General features: G+C 36.9%; 1 protein-coding gene across 28 annotated transcripts in view; it reads left to right on the forward strand.

Annotated features, from left to right (window-relative positions):
- CCDC171 (coiled-coil domain containing 171) overlaps positions 1-18,023 on the forward strand; it is a 556,042-nt gene that overhangs the window by 418,722 nt on the left and 119,297 nt on the right. For 21 of the 28 annotated variants that reach the window (XM_047422930.1, XM_047422935.1, XM_005251397.3 and 18 more), the window contains one exon: positions 3-2,433. The exons of 5 other annotated variants lie outside the window; for them this stretch is intronic. In XM_047422930.1, the coding sequence (XP_047278886.1) occupies positions 3-230 (228 nt within the window). In that variant the 3' untranslated portion in view covers positions 231-2,433. Of the gene's footprint in view, positions 1-2; positions 2,434-18,023 lie in introns of those variants that run through there. 2 more of the 28 variants (NM_001348002.2, NM_173550.4) reach the window with 1 other exon arrangement.

Consider the following 18,023-nt stretch of genomic DNA (forward strand, 5'->3'; position numbering starts at 1 on the left):
AGATAGGATCACGAGACCATTCAAATCTCTCCATTCCTTCAAGAGCTCCTCTTCCTGCTGACACAACTGGTATTGGGGATTTCTTACCATTGAAAGCTGAACTTGATACTACTTACACTTTCTTAAAGGAGACATTTATAAATACTGTGCCCCATGCTCTGACATCATCTCACTCCTCTCCAGTGACTATGTCTGCTAATGCCAACAGACCAACTCAGATTGGATTATGACTTCATGAAATTAAAAAATGGAGGAAGAGTTAACAGTACAATTAAAATTGTTTTGAATGGGAATTTTCTTATCAGTTGACTTTTGTTTCAGCAGAAGTGGCAGTGGATTTAAAAAATTTGTGCGCTATCTTGATGTATTCTGGTAGCTCTGTCTCCTTGAATAAGGAAATAGCCAACTTTTTTCTCTCCAAGTTTTATTTGTTATCACAGTTGCTCATTTTTATGTAACATATTTTTAAATGTTAAGGAATGACACATTTTGGGTAATTTCCCTCAGACTTAAAAAAATCAATAAGCCATTTTAGTCTCTATCTATCAAAGTTGTTTCATACTTGTCTATTTTAAAGCAGGACTGCAATGCTTTAATAGGATTGAGAGAGCTATTTGAAATGTATGCCAATGATTCCTGTCATTTCATGGCAGCCCGGCCATGGTTCACTGAGCCCCCTCTTCTCTCTTGTCAGCTCAACTGAAGACAAGCATTTAGTTGCAAACTTTAAGCAGGTTGTGCAAAACAGAAATGATGTGACTGCTTCTCCTCCTGCACAATAATGTCACTCCTGGTCAATGTGAGAAGGTCAGGTTGCTCCTTGTAAAGCTACATGATACCACTTGCCCATTTGAACAAGTTAAGTTAACTGCTGAATCTGGTCCCTGAAGGCACTGAAAACTCATTCTTTTAGCAAGTCTGCATTTGATAAGAAAGTAGAGCAATTGTGCTGGAGGATTTCTGTGGTATGTTTAGGCACTTCATAAGGACAGTTCCCACACTAGGATAGCAGGTAATATATTTAGTATAAGCTGAAAAACTTCAAGGTAATGGCTGTTTTGACCTTCAAAATAGACTCCTTTTTTGTTTTTGTTGTTGGTAGGACCCAAGAGTGACACCCATCTTTGATGCTGACAGAATTTAAAACAAGGCCATTGCCCTGCATTTTCTGCCTTGTAGCACACAAAAGTAAAATTGTATGTCAGGCCGAGATGTCGGGGAGCTGACAAGATGCCCCAGTGACATTTCAGCTAGAAAGAGCAAGTGTCTTGCAACCAAGTGGTCAAATATCAAATAATAGGTCAAGCAGGAAGGAGCTGAGTTCTAACCACAAAGAGGTTTCTGGTAACTTACTTGACAAGCTTTTGGGTGCTTTGTGGCTTGACAAAGTGATGTTCTGTTGGGTATCGCTAGACAGACTGTTCTTTATCGCCTTCAGAAGATCAGACATTGACATTGATTAAACTCTTTAACCCTTAAAGGTTAAATCCTTGCAGTTTGCATCATGGTAAGTGAAGAACAAAAGAATATTTGTAGTAAGAATTTGTTTTTGTATTAATCATTTAACTCCCTAGTGCTATTAACTTCTGATGTGAACTATAGCTTTTGACAAAGAGTCTTGATACATAATCTATTTTTTATATTATTTTTCATTATGGAATCTTTCATTATGGATACATTAGAGTATAACAGTATGTATTACAGAAGTTTTTTTGTCTTATCTTTACAGTGACATTTGATTCAAATTACCCAACTGCTGAGAATTTTTTTATTGGCCTTGGTAAATAAGATTTTATACTAACTATTTATTAGTAGCCAAATTAGCCAAGTGATTTATGCCATCTGAGGGAACACAGCAGTATTACTGTCGTACTGTGTAACACATCCTATTCTTGTAATACTGAACCACTATAATTAGCTTTATATAAAACTTTAGAAAGCTTATATGGAGTAAAATTATATCTTTAACCAAATTTCTCTTAATTCTTTCCTTGGAATTATTTTTAATATGACCTGTGTAACATGACCTGTATGAAATTCAACTTGCAAATTTATTATAACATGGAAGTGCTATTTATTGTTTTTATACAGATCATATAATTTCTGCACATTTCAGAACACCTTTCTCTGCTGTTCCAAACAATGATTAGGATATTGTTCATACAGAAATTGATAGACAATTTTTTAGTTCATGTGATATCACTGAGCTTACAATTCTCACTAGAGAAGAACAAGGTTACTATATGTAACCTCTATGTCTAAGTGTTTGTGTGTGTGTATGCTTGTGTTGAATCTGTTTTCAGATCCTACTGATTTTAGAGGAACAAGCAGCTTTGTAAAATGTGCCTTGGAAAGGCCTTGGTCTTCTTGCCTTGATTTTATAATCTGTTAATGGGATAACTCCAAAAATAAATGTGTATGTGTCTCCATATATATGGGTATCTAACTTTACAGGTACATTTTGTACAGTGAATTCTGAACCACAAATTCAAAATTCGTAAATTATGATTAAATCAAATCAAAGCATGTCACATTTATAAGCAACTAGATGCTAAAGGCCATAGAAACTGAAGGATGAACCTCCTGAGCGATCATTAGTATTCACTACCAAATATAGTAATATTTATACCATATGCTTTTTTCCCAGAAGTCAGACCCAGCAGGAGGAGAAGATTTAATGACATATCCTATGGAGATCTGAGAAACTCTAGACTGCTTCTAAGCACCTTAGTGACCAATTGCTGCATATTTGAGATCTCTGTTGTGTCGGCAAGGACAGTTGCTGTATCAGCTTCTTTATCTTTTTAAGAATGATGTATAGAGTAGACATATCTCAGGATAATGACTTCAAATATTTTTGTAGAGGAAAGGAAGTTTTACTTTACACTTCCGAATGTGGATTTTCCTGCTAACTTTCTGTGATCTAGAAACACACCTATATCACCTATCACTATTAATTCTTAAAGTTATTGTTCTGATACCTGAGTCACACTTACATATTGTGGAGTTGCTGACATTTTTAATACATGTATTTTGGAATGACATAATATAAAAACAAAGAGGTTTAGGATTGCAAAAATTGCCAGTTCAGTGATAACTTAATGACATAAATAAATAACCTTTTAAATAGAATGATCACTTTAATTTACCAAATATCTGACTCTTATTAAACTTAGCAACTCTATTTCCTATTTCATATTTATGACATATGCTATTATTGAATGTTTAATGAGATTATTAGTATTTTCATATTACTTCATTTACCAGTTGTCTGAATTCATTCTGTAGACCATACTGAACAATAGGAAGTTGATCCTATTTCACTGTGCACTTATTCTTTTTTTAAGAGATGGGCTCTCACAACGTTGCCCAGGCCGGTCTTGAACTCCTGGGCTCAAGTGATCCTCCCACCTCAGCCTCCTGAGTACCAGGGACTACAGATGCGTACCACTGTGCCCTCACTGTGCACTTTTTATAGACAAGTTTTCTAATATAAAAGGTGGAAGATAATTAATATTTATCAAGCAACTGTTTTATGCCAGTTATTATAGCAAAACTAATGATCTCACAACAAACCTCTAGCATAGGAGTTTCCATCACCATTTTAGACATGAATAACTGAGGATCAAAAATGTTAAGCTTTTGGCTACCAAAGATCATACATAACCTAGGAATTAGTAAGCCTAGAGCTGCAATTCCAAAGTCCACATTATTTTGAAACACTGCTAGTCCTGCCTTCCAGAAATAATTAACACTTTTTAAAGAGAAAAAAAAATTTTTTTTAATTGTCCTGACCAGCTAGGAATAATTTTGATAAGTATGTTTTGGTTTGAAATCTAGATTTCTTATGAATTGATTAGACAAAACAAAATACATACATACTAGCACTATTTATGTAAACAGTAACTGTGAAGTTGGTGTCTATCTTTCAAAGGAAACACCACCCTCACTGTGTTGCCCAGTGTCTCTAGCTTGGCCAAAAGACCACACAGATACTCTCAGAAGCAGAGTCTCTGTTGAGAGGTACTGATGGTGAGTCAGCTTGACCATGCTATTACTTCCCAATGGAAAATAATGACATATGCCAAATAAAGCTGATCAATAAAGCATTCACTTGTGTAACTCCTAGGATAAAGATTTAAAAATATATTTTCTGGACTAGTGTAGTAGGCTGAATAATGGCCGTACGAGATGTTCATAATACTAATCACTGAAACCTGTGAATGTTACCGTCTACGGCAAAGGGACTTTGCAGGGGTGATTAAGTTAAGGATCTTGAGATCAGGAGATTATCCTGGATTAGCTGGGTGTGCTCTAAATGCAATAGGAGGTATCTTTGTAAGAGAGGGAGGTGCAGGGGTTAGTTTGACTATGGAGAGGAAAAGGTGATACGATGATGGAAGCCGAAGTTGAAGTGATGTGCTGTGAAGATGGAGGCAGAGTCCAGACTTAAGGCTTTCAGGGCGGTGCTAGAAGCAGAAAGAGGCAAGGAAATGGATTCTCCTCTCAGAGCCTCCAGGATTGTAAGAGAATACATTTGTGCTGCTTTAAGCCACAAGTTTGTGGTAATTTGTGGCAATATGTCACAGCCACCGAAGGAAACTAATACACCAGTAAACGTTTAGTAATTTTTTTAAAAGATTAATATGTTAATCTTTTAATATTAGCAAACAGAGAAAATGTTCTTTCTTTTAAATTATCCGTAATAATTGCCTTCATAACTTGAATTTTCAAATTCTTTTCGGTTTCCATTTTATATTCATGGCTTCTAAATATAATAAACAGTGATTATATTGGGCCAGCATAGAGTCACACTCTATTGCCATAACTTTTGATAATTCTTCAATTAACCTGTGATTTCAATGTATATTTTAATTCCTACAGTTTTAAAAAGATGCCTTAAATATCTTAAAGATCTACTTTAAATGATTGTTTTTATTTTATTCCATTTTGGTTGGCATATTTTAATAGCTTTCTTACAAAAGAAATTGAATCTTGAATGAATTTATATTAATCACAGCTTAAAATAATGATAGGGAATTTATGAATTATATACTTTAAATTAAATTATATATTTAAATATATTTAAAAGAAAATGCCAGAGCATTTCCTGGTCATTTCTCCCTGCCTTTTGTTATAATTGAAGTGAGATAATTTTAATAATTTTATTCAACAAGGAAATCTTCTAAAATTTTTACAATGTACTATGTGAATCCATTTTGTCTTTACTTTGGTGAAAGCATATAATTTTTCCTGATGGTTTAATTTAGTGAGAGAAAGGAGAGCAATTTTAATTGAAATGACTAAGTGTTAAATGTGATCAAACCTAAAATATTGAAGATTTAAACCTAGAGCGTTAAATATTGCAAGTACAGCCAAGCAAAGAAAAGAAAAATAAAGCCTCTGGTTCTGTAAGAAACCCCTCCATTCCTCCAGTCCTCCTGGTTAAGTGAGACATAAATGTGTAAATTTACATATTAGAAGAGCTCCATCTTTTTTCTTATACCTTAGCAATTTTATTACGAGACACTTTTCTGGCTGTAGAATGTGTTGATTGACATATCCAGATATCAGATGTCCTGTTAGTTCATATTATGGATGCGTACATATTTTTTCTGAACCTCCCCCTGCATAATCTTTTTTAGTTATTGTTTTAAACAAATCAGAATCTAAAGGTCTCCCTAACTGTATCTTGTGGGCAAATTACATTTCCATGGACGTTGCGATGGGAAAATGTGTTCTTACTCTTTGCAGTAGTGATACCTAATTGATACCACATATTCTTAAGTTTAAAATCTCTGGATATAGTATGGGAAGGAGATAAATCAAAACAGAGTTTTGCTCCTTCCTCTAAATCATATTCTGTGTAGGTGTGTTTGATGCTTAGGCATATGTTTTTAAAGCGCTGACCTTAATGTTAGGCAACAGAAGCCCTACAACATATAAAGCTTTGAAAACTACTGGGTTAATGTTATCTGAAGACAGTTTTTTTGTGGTTTAATTGAGTCATGGTTCATTGTCTTTTATTGCATGTTAATGCCAGTGAAATGCTGATTGTTGACAGAGTCCTCCCAGTGAAGCGGCTCCAGAAATGTTGTGCGGCTATAGGAAACTACGTAAAATAGGAAGGCTTATTTAGATCTGAAGAAGACTCATCTGACAGGTTAAGAGCTATCAGATATTCATAAACATTCACGATGACAAGAATATAAGGTGACCTGTCTTCAGTAGATCCCTTCTGTGTTTTGGGTGTCTATATAAGAGGAAAATCTTAAATGTGATCTAGGACGAATGGAATTGTATTGGATGCCTAGTAAAAAGAACTGTAAAAGAAATAATTACAGGCTATATAATAGGACATCTCATTTTTGCCTTTTTCTTCAAACAGTAACCAAAATACATTTTCTTTTTCTAAGTTTACTTCTGGTTTAAAAGTAGAAGGCTTAGGCAGTAAAAGTGCACATGGAAAGCTTTGGAACGTAGACACTCCCTGCAAATCATTTAGGACCTGAGGTTTAAAGACATCAGTTCATTCTGGTGACTTTGATGTACTACTGACTATTGAACTCATTGTAAATGCTTCTGTGGTTACAGAAGCACCACTTCGGTTTTCCTTGGGCTGAGGAGTATTAGTCTAAATATGTGCTCTGAAGACGATTTAGAGAGATTCCTATGAAGCAGAGTTCTCATTCACAGTCACAATTAAAAGTGCTTTCTAATAACGAATGGTGGCGGTGTTCTTACTGAAGTGTTCATGGGTCCAAGAGGGCACAAACTACATCATAATGTGTGTGACTGGTGCACGACAGGTGGGGCTACACAGAAGAGTCCTGGCACATGGAGGTCATCATCAGCTTCAGCGTCCCTCCTGGGCTTTTTGCTCTCTTTAATCTGTGGGGAGGCAGAATCCCTGTTCTTCCTAAGAGACAATTTTGAGGAAGTCCAACGTTGATTTTCCTGAATATGAAGTTAATCAGAGTAGAAACCCTGTATCACTGTATGTCTAAATAGCTTTCAAAATTGGCAGTCACCCTTTGACTAGATTTATCTGCTTCACAACAATTCAGATAAGAATTCGAACACCTAGGTTAGAGCACATACATATATATTTTTTAAAAAGTACAGCTTTATTAAAATATAGTTCACGTAACATACAATGTATCCTTTTAAAGTATACAATCCACAGTTTTTCACATATTTCACAAAGATGAACAATTTTCACCATCTAATTCCAGAACATTTGTATTACCCCAAAGAGGAGCTCTGAACCCATTGGCAATCACTTTCCATTCCCCAATCCTCTATCCCCTGGTGACCATAATCTACTTTCTATCTCTATGGATTTGCCTATTTTTGTATATATCATGTAAATAGAACAATATGTATTGCTATTTTTATCTGGCTTCCTTCATTGAGACTTAACATTTTCCAGGTTTGTTCATACGGTACCGTGTATCTACTTCATTCCTTTTCAAGTGGAATAATATTCCACTATATGAATAGACCACATTTTGTTTATTCATTCACCATTTAATTGACTTTTGATTTATTTCCAGCTTTTTAATTCAAATAGTTTTGTGGTGTGAATTTCTTAGTATTTTTCTATAGACAAAGTGGTGTCATCTGCAAATAGACACAGTTTTACTTCTTTTCTAATCTAAATGCCTTTCGTTTCTTCTTCTTACCAAATTGTCTCAGCTATAATCTTCAGTACATTGTTGAGTAGTAGTAGCAAGAGTGAACATACTTGTCATGTTCCTGATCTTAGGGAAAAGCATTAAGTCTTATACCATGAAGTGTGACATTAGCAATTGGATTTTCATAGATGCCCTTTATCAGGTTGAAGATGTTCCCTTCAATTTTTAGTTTTGTTGGCTGTTTTTTATCACAGAAGGGTGTTTCAATTTGTCAAATATTTTTTCTGTATCTATTGAGATGATCATGTGGTTTTTGTCCTGTATTCTATTAATATGATGTCTTACATTGATTGATTTTCACACGTTAAACCAATCTTGCCTTCCTGGGATAAATCTCACTTGGTCATGGTGTGGTATGTAATCTTTTTTTTTCATGTTTCTGGATTCAGTTTCCTAGGATTTGTTGGAGATTTTGCATCTCTGAAAATAAGGAGTATTTGTTTGAAGTTTTCTTGTGATATCTTTATCTAGTATTAGGCTAATACTGGGCTCATAGAATGATTGGGAAATTATCCCTTCTCTTCTATTTTTTTAAAGAGTTTGGGAAGGGTTAATGTTAATTTTTTGAACATACTTAGAATTTATTAGTGAATTCATCTTGGCCTGAGCTTTTCTTTGTGGGAATTTTTTTTATTATTAAAGAAATCTTTTTAATTGTGGTAAAATATACATAACATAAAATTTACCATGTTAACAGTTTTTGATTATTTAATCTCTTTACCTAAACAAGGCTGTAGTATTTGGCAAAACTTAATAAGGACTTGAGAATAACTGAAGGGAATTCTATCATAGAGAGTAAAAATATTAAGACTGGAAAGAAAAGAGTTTTAGATGTAATAATACAAAGCATCTAATGTTTTCTGGAAATTTTCTATTTCAAATTAGGATTTTGACTTTACCTTTGTAGAATCAAAAGGTTCTGAAGTGGTTTACTAAAGTGGTTTTTCAGAAACAGGAATAATCTGCCCCCGAATTCAAACAACAACTGGACTTTGGAAATTACATGTTATTTGCAAGACTTTAAAGGTCCTAGAACTAATTCTTAAGTTGGACTCAAGTCAGATTTCTTAAGGTCCCCCTAGCCCCAGTGATCTCTCCAGCAAATGGTTCAGAAAGGGGGTTCAGCAGATCTCCTCCCTCTCAGCACCCTCAGCATCCAAGTTCTATTTCTGAGACAATAGCCTGCATGTATGGCCTCTCTGCTCTCCCCAGGCCCATGCTTTATAATTAGGGTTTTCTCTCAGTGGAGACCTACTTTAATTGATTTCTTAAAAGCCATCTTTCATAGCCCCAAACCATCTGTACAGATCTGTTCTTCAACCCTTTCAAGCTATAGAAGAAGGTCCTTGGCATTTGTCTAAGATTTACCATTCTGTAATACCTGGGCATATATTCTGTTATAATGTCATGGTTGATATTCTTGGGTGTTGCTCATTTGGTTTTTTTTTTTTTAATAACTATTTCAAAGCACCTGCTACGTACTGAATTGTGTCCCCCCAACCCTGCCCCGCCCACCCAATTTGTATATAGAAACCTGTATTAGTCCGTTTTCATACTGCTGATAAAGACATACCAGAGACTGAGTAATTTACAAAAGAAAGAGGTTTAACTGAACCTACAGTTCCATGTGGTTGGGAAGCCTCACAATCATGGTGGAAGGCAAGAAAGAGCAAGTCACGTCTTACATGGATGGCAGCAGGCAAAGAGAGAGAGCTTATGCAGGAAAACCCCCATATAATAACCATCAGATATTGTGAGACTTACTGTCACGAGAAAAGCCAGGAAAGACGTGCCCCCATGATTCAGTTACCTCCCACAACACATGGGAATTCAAGATGAGATATGGCTGGGGACACAGCTAAACCATATCAAAACCCTAACCCCCAATGTGATAATATTTTGATATAGGCTCTTTGGGAGGTACTTCAGATTAGAAGAGGTCATGAGAGTCCTCTTGATGGGATTAATGGCTTTATATGCAAAGAGAGAAAAAGAGAACACTCACTCTTTCTCCACCACATAAGGACACAGTGAGAAGGTGGCTTTCTGTAAGCTAGGAAGGGATCTCTTGTCAGGAATCAAATCAGCTAGCACTTTGATTTTGGACTTCCCAGCCTCCTGAAATAAATGTTCATTGCTTAAGCAACCCAGTCTGTGGTATTTTGTTATAGTCTGAGCTGACTGAGCATCTCAACTTCCAGTGAAAGTGTCTAATTAATATAAGCAGTGCTGATTTATGTATGATGAGGATGACAAATAAATGGAAAGATCTGTCTGGAGTAGACATGTAGAAGCTTTTTAAGTTGTAACTACCTAAACAATGTTAGATGTTCTTTTGTGGTTAGAAGTACGCAGCTCATTTTAAAGTAGGCCAGAAAAACTGGGAGATTCTTACTACTTCAGAAACAATGTCTTACCTTTTCTTTTCCATAACCCTCTCCCTTCCCTTTTCCACCCCCACCTTTTTCTGGCTCCGTCTGTCTCTTTTCCATATACTCTCAGCATGACTTCCCAAAGGTACAGATTAAATGGCTAGGGTTATTTGAAAAAGCGTCTGAAGTTCTCCTCCCAGCCAGAAGGAATTGTACTATAAAGTAGAATAATTTGAAAGGGAGGAGTTTGTCTTTTTCATGAACAGTAAAAAGCTTTCAATTCTTTCAATAACTGAAAAGGCTTATACTTCTGTTAAGAGTCTCTAAGAACCCGTGATAAAGTTCATATTGTAGTTGTAGTTTATTCCATGAACTGGGAGAATGCAAACTTCTTTTGAGAAGATTCTGGCTCTTTCTGACATACTTCCTCTGTATGGAGCATACTGAAGGCTGATGTATGAGTGCTGCAAATTAAGGTGTTATGTTTATAATTAAATACAGAGGAAGATATCATAGCACAGACATAGCCTTCATGCTTCTGAGAACTTCTCAGAATTTCAATTAGCAGTAATTGAGCTTGTTTAGTGTTTATGGCCCAGCGTAGTGATGTGAGAATTTAGAACCGTATTCACTCACCAGCTGTGTGTCCTTAGGCAAGTTATTTAACCTCGTGAACCTCAGATTCCTCTCAGGGAAGAGGGAGATAATGATACCTTCTCTACTGAGCTCTTGTAAGCATTACGTGACAGAGTATTTAGCACACAGCCAAATGGCACACAGTAGTTACTGTCTCGGATGGAGTAGTTTGATGATGAGGCACCAAATCCCACTCCAAATTACTGGAAGGAAAGAGGGATAATTCATGGAACCTGAGGGCAGGAGTGCAGCCCAGCCTTTAGAGGAAGCAAGGGGTCTTTTTCTTGTAATGCACCCTCCTCTCCTCTGTTCCTGGGGGTGTCTGCTCTCTGATCTCTGGGCCTTTCTGTGCCTCTGCTTCCTTCCCTTCCTTCTACTGACTGGTGCTCTCAGCCTAATTTCCACATGACCCAGGCATGGTCACTTTAGGTTCTTAAACCGACTCACTTAATTTTCCAGTTTAAGAACCTAAAAGAGTCTTCACGATTCATTTCCCTGCACTCTTCTGTGTCCAGAGAGAAAGGGGTCTATGGGATTCTACTTGTTCAGCAGACACAATGGGAGACCAAGGGGGACATGGGTAGATTCTGCAAGAAGGTGATGCAGGGGTGAGGTCAAAATAATGGGCATCTCCAGAAAAGTCACTCAAATATTAACATCCATTCTCTCTTAAAGGTCACTTCCTACAAATAAATCCCACTGAAACATGTTCGTTCTTACCCTGGATTTCTTGTGCAGCACTTAACTATGGACTTGTGTTTGCTTCTTGAAGCTCCTATTCTAGCTTTCATAAAAATACATGATCCTGGTTATCCTCCTACTTTTTTGATAGGTTCTTCTCCAGATCTTTTCAGAACCCCCTTCCCCTTTCCTCTTAAATACTGAACATTTTTTAAGGTTATACCCTCCTGCTTAATCTTTTTCCCCAGTTCTCTATCCCTTGATGAAATTCAGCCACAGAGAACTGGAAACATAATAGTTGACAAGTACATGGGAGTGCTCTTCATTTCTCTTTTTTCCTGTATCTTTAATTTTCTAGCAATATCTGTTTTTCTTTTTTTAAAAAAACATATTTTACTATTTTAACTTATTTCTCATACTCTCTTCTTAGGTAATATGCAGTATTTCCCATATTTTGTACAGTTTATATTGTGGATTTTGTGATCAGTTGTGTGTGTGTGTGTGTGTGTGTGTGTGTGTGAGAGAGAGAGAATCTCTGAAGCATATGTGGAATATCTAGGCAAGTGGCTAGTAGGTTCTTAGCACCTTTTTAAGGGATCCTCAGTTCTCCTCCCAAAGTCTCACAGGCATTTGTTCCTGGATAAACATTTGTGTTTCATACTGTTTGAGAAATCACTTTCACTGCTGCCAGATAATTGTGTAAGGAGTTAAATAATCTGCTCAATGGGATGGATGTGATTGCCTGCAATGAGAATAAATCTATAATAATGCATTTATTTGTGTTTGTTCATCCCAAGGTAGGGAGGCAAGAGCTAAATAAAGAGAGTGTGTGTGTGTGTGTGTGTGTGTGTGTGTGTGTGTGTGTTGGCATTTGGAAATCAGCACTACTGTATCAATTTTACCTCCAACTGCTAGATAAGAAATTTAAGTAGATAAAACAGAAACTCTACTAAAAACCATCTTCCCACCAGAACCATTGAGGCAGCATAAATAGCCCTTTCCACTCCTCTGCAGAGTAGAGACCAGGAGCATCTGTAGTCCTCTGTATCAGAATAGACTACAGTATAGTTTCACATCAAGCAAAACTGGTCAGTATTTCTTTGAAATATAGAGCCCAGGTGGGCAACAAGATAAGAAAGAAGGTAAAGCCACTGAAGCCATGGACCCTGGACCAAATGTGAGGTCTGACAGATAATCTGGAGCCCTAAGACCTGCTGTGGTCAATGAGAAAGCATAGACTTCCAGGCCTCAGAAAGCATACCACAGTGGATGCATATAGCTTCATGCCTAATTAGAGAGGACTTAAAAGATGATGCTAACTTTGTGCCGGTAATAGTGTCACTGTGGTTAGGTATGGGGTTAGGTATGTAATTAAGCACAGTCTTTCTGGAAAGCATTTGACCATGTATATATATGAGTGTGTGTGTACATATATATGTGTGTGTGTATATATATATATATGTTTATATGTATGTATATACATATATATGTCATAATTATTAAATAAGTGTATTATCTTTGATCCTACTTCTAGAAATCTTTCCTGAGGAAATAGCTAGAGAGCTAGAGTAAGATTTCTCTGTGTGATATGCGTCATGGGGTTATTTTAAATACATTAGTAAATAAATTGTCCAATAAATCTTATATTCATTTAATGGACTATCAGGCAATGTTGAGAATCATGGTTTTATAGAATATTTATCAACATTACAAAGTTCTCATGATTTGATATTTGATGAAAAGGGTAGGATACAAAATCTGCTCTATAAATTTTCCAGTCACAGATTTTCATGGATAGAAACTAAGTCTCACAACAGAGCAGAAATGGGTCAATTCTTCTCAACAAAAACAGATATTGTGCTAAGTTTAAAGTCACTATGGACTTTTGCACAAATGGATCTACATTTCAGAACCCAGTCTATTGGTAATTTGAAGTATTTCTATATGAAAGTTTTGATGTATTTCTATATTTATACATAATATAAATATCTATGTTGGTACATATATGAGAGAAAAGGCATCAAACATATCTACCAGTGGTAGAATTATGAATAATTTTTATTTTCTTCATATTTTTATAAATTTCTAAATTTCCTACAATGAACATTTATAATTTTATGTTTAGAAGAAAATAAACTCTATAAAGACAGCAGAGGAACATTTCACTGTGTACAAAGAGGCACACAGGAAGGGAGGCTCCATAATTATGTGGCAAATGGAAATAACCTTACTTGAGTAATAATGCAGTACACCAAGTGAAAAGGTTTTTTTTTGGACCAATCATACAAATTCCTTTTCTTCCTAAGGTTCAAGTGCGAGATACATTTGCAGGTATGAACACACTGATCCTTTAGTCAGATTACTTCCTTCCATTCAGTTGCTGCCTTATACTTTAATCTGTAAGTCAGCAGCAGTATCATCACTGTTAACAGGGACAGTCCTTCATCTGGGTTTTGAGTTTCTCATTTGTCCTGGTAGCTAGGCTTTGTGCAAAATACATTATTTGGGTTATCTCATAATTTCCAAAAATGACCTATTGTTACACTACCTTACAGACAAGGAAATTAAGACCTAGAGAGATTAAGTGACTTTCCCAAATTAGGCAGCAATGGAATGGCAGATTCTTCAACTTTCCAACTTTTGGTATACTAGAAAATACTGACAATTTAGGAAGAAACAAGTTGTACTGTAATATGTAGAATAACTGACCACCCAAAGATGATAATTCAGTATTTATTTATTATTTATTTCTGATCTTCCCATGAGAGGCAGAGGTAATTCAGTACTTATTTAAAAGATAGAAAAAATGAATATGAGTCCCTTTGACAGACCCACCTGGAGCTTTGGAATTACTTGATACCATTCACCAAGAAGTGGTCAGACCATTTGAGTTTTGTGTGCAGCTGTTGATGAAGTCAGATAGACTGGTTAATCAATGGAGAATTTGCAGGGCATTCTTTTTCTTCCCATTATTGGCTAGTCATAAACTCTGTACTTGGTTGAAAGGCACAACAGAACCAAATGATGAACAAGAAGGCATAACTTCGTAAAAGAATGAAAGCAGAATTTTAAGAAACTGCTGATGCTTAGGAAATAAAAGGGGCTGATAATGGCAATTAATGATTGTGAAATCTGGGCCTCATTGCTGTGAGTCTTAAAATCAGTTCTAAAACAGAAGAAGATTAAAATACATATTGATCTGCTGATAGGCAAAAGGTAAAGTTTAAAAGCAAAGAATTGACCAATATGTATTACGTTGATTAAACCCTTCTCTGCGATGTGAATAAACACAAGCTGATAACTAGTGTCTGTGAGTTCCTGAATTGATTCTTCATTGAGTATACTTCAAAGATGCAGGACCATGTCTGTCTGCAATCACCTTCAGAAAGGCTGTCTTGCTGCAGAGGGATGCCATAAGACACTTAAAGTTCTCTTTCCAGCTGATCCCCGAACTTACTTTACTAATGCAGCGGGTGTAACAGCAACAGGCTTTGAAATGCAAAGCCTTCCTTCAGTTATGCGCTCATTAAAAACTAACCTGCTCTCGTAAAAATCCAAGAACTGTAATGGGAAAGATTTTATACGAAGAGGGCAACAAAACCCCAGATTGCCCTAGATCCTTGTCCTTTCACTTGTTTGCCTGGCACCTGCTGGAGATGGAGACCAACTTACTGAACTTTAGACATGGCACTCTGTAAAAGTAACTAGGACCTTGGAGAACTTTCTTGCTGACTTACTCTTAGATGACTATTTCCATTCTGTTGTTTATGTCATTTGTTTGTTCATATATGGTCATTAACACAGATTCTATAAGGATTCTAAGAGACTGAGAAATGTAGTAATTAAGTAAAGTAGTAATAGAAATATTATGAGAATTTAAGGTGTAATATTTCAAATCAGTGGGGAAAGATGTATCCTTTAATACATGGCATTAGAATTACTTGCATTTGTCCAGAAAAAAAACCTACATTGTTTATGCTGAAATAAACTCCAGAAAATAAAATATTTAAATACTTAAAAATGAGAACTATGAATGTACTAGAAATATACATAGGTGATTTGTTTTTCATAATATTGGCATAGAGAAGGCATTTCTAGGCAAGACTCCACACCTAAAATCTGTAACAGAAACTATTGAAAAAAATTTACTATACACAAATTTCAAACTTTTATACAGAAAACACCACTAGCAAATGTCAAAAGATGATGAACAAAGTAGAGAAAAAATTTGTAACACACATATAAGAAAATGAACTAATTTCTTTAGCATTTAAAGAACTCCTAAAAATTGGAGGAGGGTGAGGATTGAAAAACTACCTATTGGGTATTACGCTGATTACCTGGGTGACAAAATCATCCATATTCCAAACCCTCATGACACAACTTACCCATGTAATAAACCTGCACATGTACCCCTTGAACCTAAAATAAAAGTTGGAAAGAAAAAGCAACAATATTGTAACAAATGTAAAAAAAAAAGCATGAAAAAGATAAACATTTTAATTTAAAAATGGACAGAGATTTGAAACATCAGTTCCCAGAAAAATGAATACAAGATTGACTGTAGCCTTGTTGGCAGTAGCCAAATCCTGAAGATAAATGTTCTTCAATGGCATGACTTGTTAACTAAACTATGATAACAGCTGTTAAAGGAGTGAGATGGAGTTACATATATTGACATGAAAAGTTGTTCATATTTCCAAAATACAGGTTGAGTATCCCTTATCCAAAGTGCTGGGGATGAGAAGTGTTTTAGATTTGGGATTTTTTTTCACATTTTGGAATATTTGCATATACATAATGAGATATCTTGGGGATGGGACCCAAGTCTAAACACAAAATTCATTTATGTTTCATATATACCTTATACACACGGCCTGAAAGGAATTGTATACAAAATTCTTAATAACTTTGTGCATGAAACAGTTTGTGTACACTGAACCATTGGGAAAAAAGGGTGTCACTATCTCAGCCACCCTTGTGGACAATCTGTGGTTGTTTGGTATAACCTTCATTCCTGACTCTGAATTTATATGCCAGCAGTAAACAATCCTTTTGTTATACTTATTCACACATCAGTACTTAACAATAAAAATATAACATACCATTAATACAGTGAAAAAAATTGTGTTCAGGGTAACTAAGCAGTACAGTAGCATCACCAGGATACTGTCTCAGCTGTTAAACTACAGCAACAACTAACAAATGGCAGGCTTTCAGTCACCACCTATGAAGCTATGATGCTGTGTTTTGATTAAAAGGCTACTGTACACTGTATTTTGTTTTTTTAGATTAGAAGAAACATCAGAAACCCTTGAGGGACCAGGAAGTGAGTCCTCAAGGGATGACTAGCCATTATGCTGCACGACTTTTTAAAATATTTCCTCCAGAATCATTTGTCTCATTATTAACAGTTTTGGTCTTAGAAGTTTCTGTTTCATTTGGAAAAGGCAGTTCCAAGATGGCCGAATAGGAACAGCTCCAGTCTACAGTTCCCAGCTTGAGTGACACAGAAGACGGGTGATTTCTCCATTTCCAACTGAGGTACCAGGTTCATCTCACTGGGGCTTGTCAGACAGTGGGGGTAGGACAGTGGGTGCAGCACACCCACCGAGCATGAGCCAACGCAGGGCGAGGCATCGCCTCACCCGGGAAGCACAAGGGCTCAGGGAATTCCCTTTCCTAGCCAAGGGAAGCTGTGACAGACGGCACATGGAAAATCGGGTCACTCCCACCCTAATACTGCACTTTTCCAATGGTCTTAGCAAACAGCACACTAGGAGATTATATCCCGCGCCTGGCTCGGAGGGTCCCAAGCCCATGGAGCCTCACCCATTGCTAGCACAGCAGTCTGAGATCGAAGTGCAAAGCGGCAGCAGGGCTGGGGGAGGGGTGCCTGCCATTGCTGAGGCTCGAGTAGGTAAACAAAGCGGCCGGGAAGCTCGAACTGGGTGGAGCCCACCGCGGCTCAAGGAGGTCTGCCTGCCTCTGTAGACTCCACCTCTGGGGGCAGGGCATAGATGAACAAAAGGCAGCAGAAACCTCTGCAGACTTAAATGTCCCTGTCTGACAGTTTTGAAGAGAGTAGTGGTTCTCCCAGCATGGAGTTTGAGATCTGAGAATGGACAGACTGCCTCCTCAAGTGGGTCGCTGACCCCCGAGTAGCCTAACTGGGAGGCATCCCCCAGTAGGGGCAGACTGACACACCACACGGCAGGGTACTGCTCTGAGACGAAGCTTCCAGAGGAACAATCAGGCAGCAACATTTACTGTCAGCAATACTCACTATTCTGCAGCCTCTGCTGCTGATACCCAGGCAAACAGGATCTGGAGTGGACCTCCAGCAAACTCCAACAGACCTGCAGCTGAGGGTCCTGACTGTTAGAAGGAAAACTAACAAACAGAAAGGACATCCACACCAAAACCACATCTGTACGTCACCATCATCAAAGACCAAAGGTAGGTAAACCCTCAAAGATGGGGAAAAAACAGAGCAGAAAAGCCGAAAATTCTAAAAATCCGAGGGCCTCTCCCCCTCCAAAGGAACGCAGCTCCTTGCCAGCAACAGAACAAAACTGGATGGAGAATGACTTTGACGAGTTGAGAGAAGAAGGTTTCAGATGATCAAACTTCTCCG

Source organism: Homo sapiens, chromosome 9 (assembly GCF_000001405.40).
Source record: "Homo sapiens chromosome 9, GRCh38.p14 Primary Assembly".
Lineage (NCBI taxonomy): Eukaryota > Metazoa > Chordata > Mammalia > Primates > Hominidae > Homo > Homo sapiens.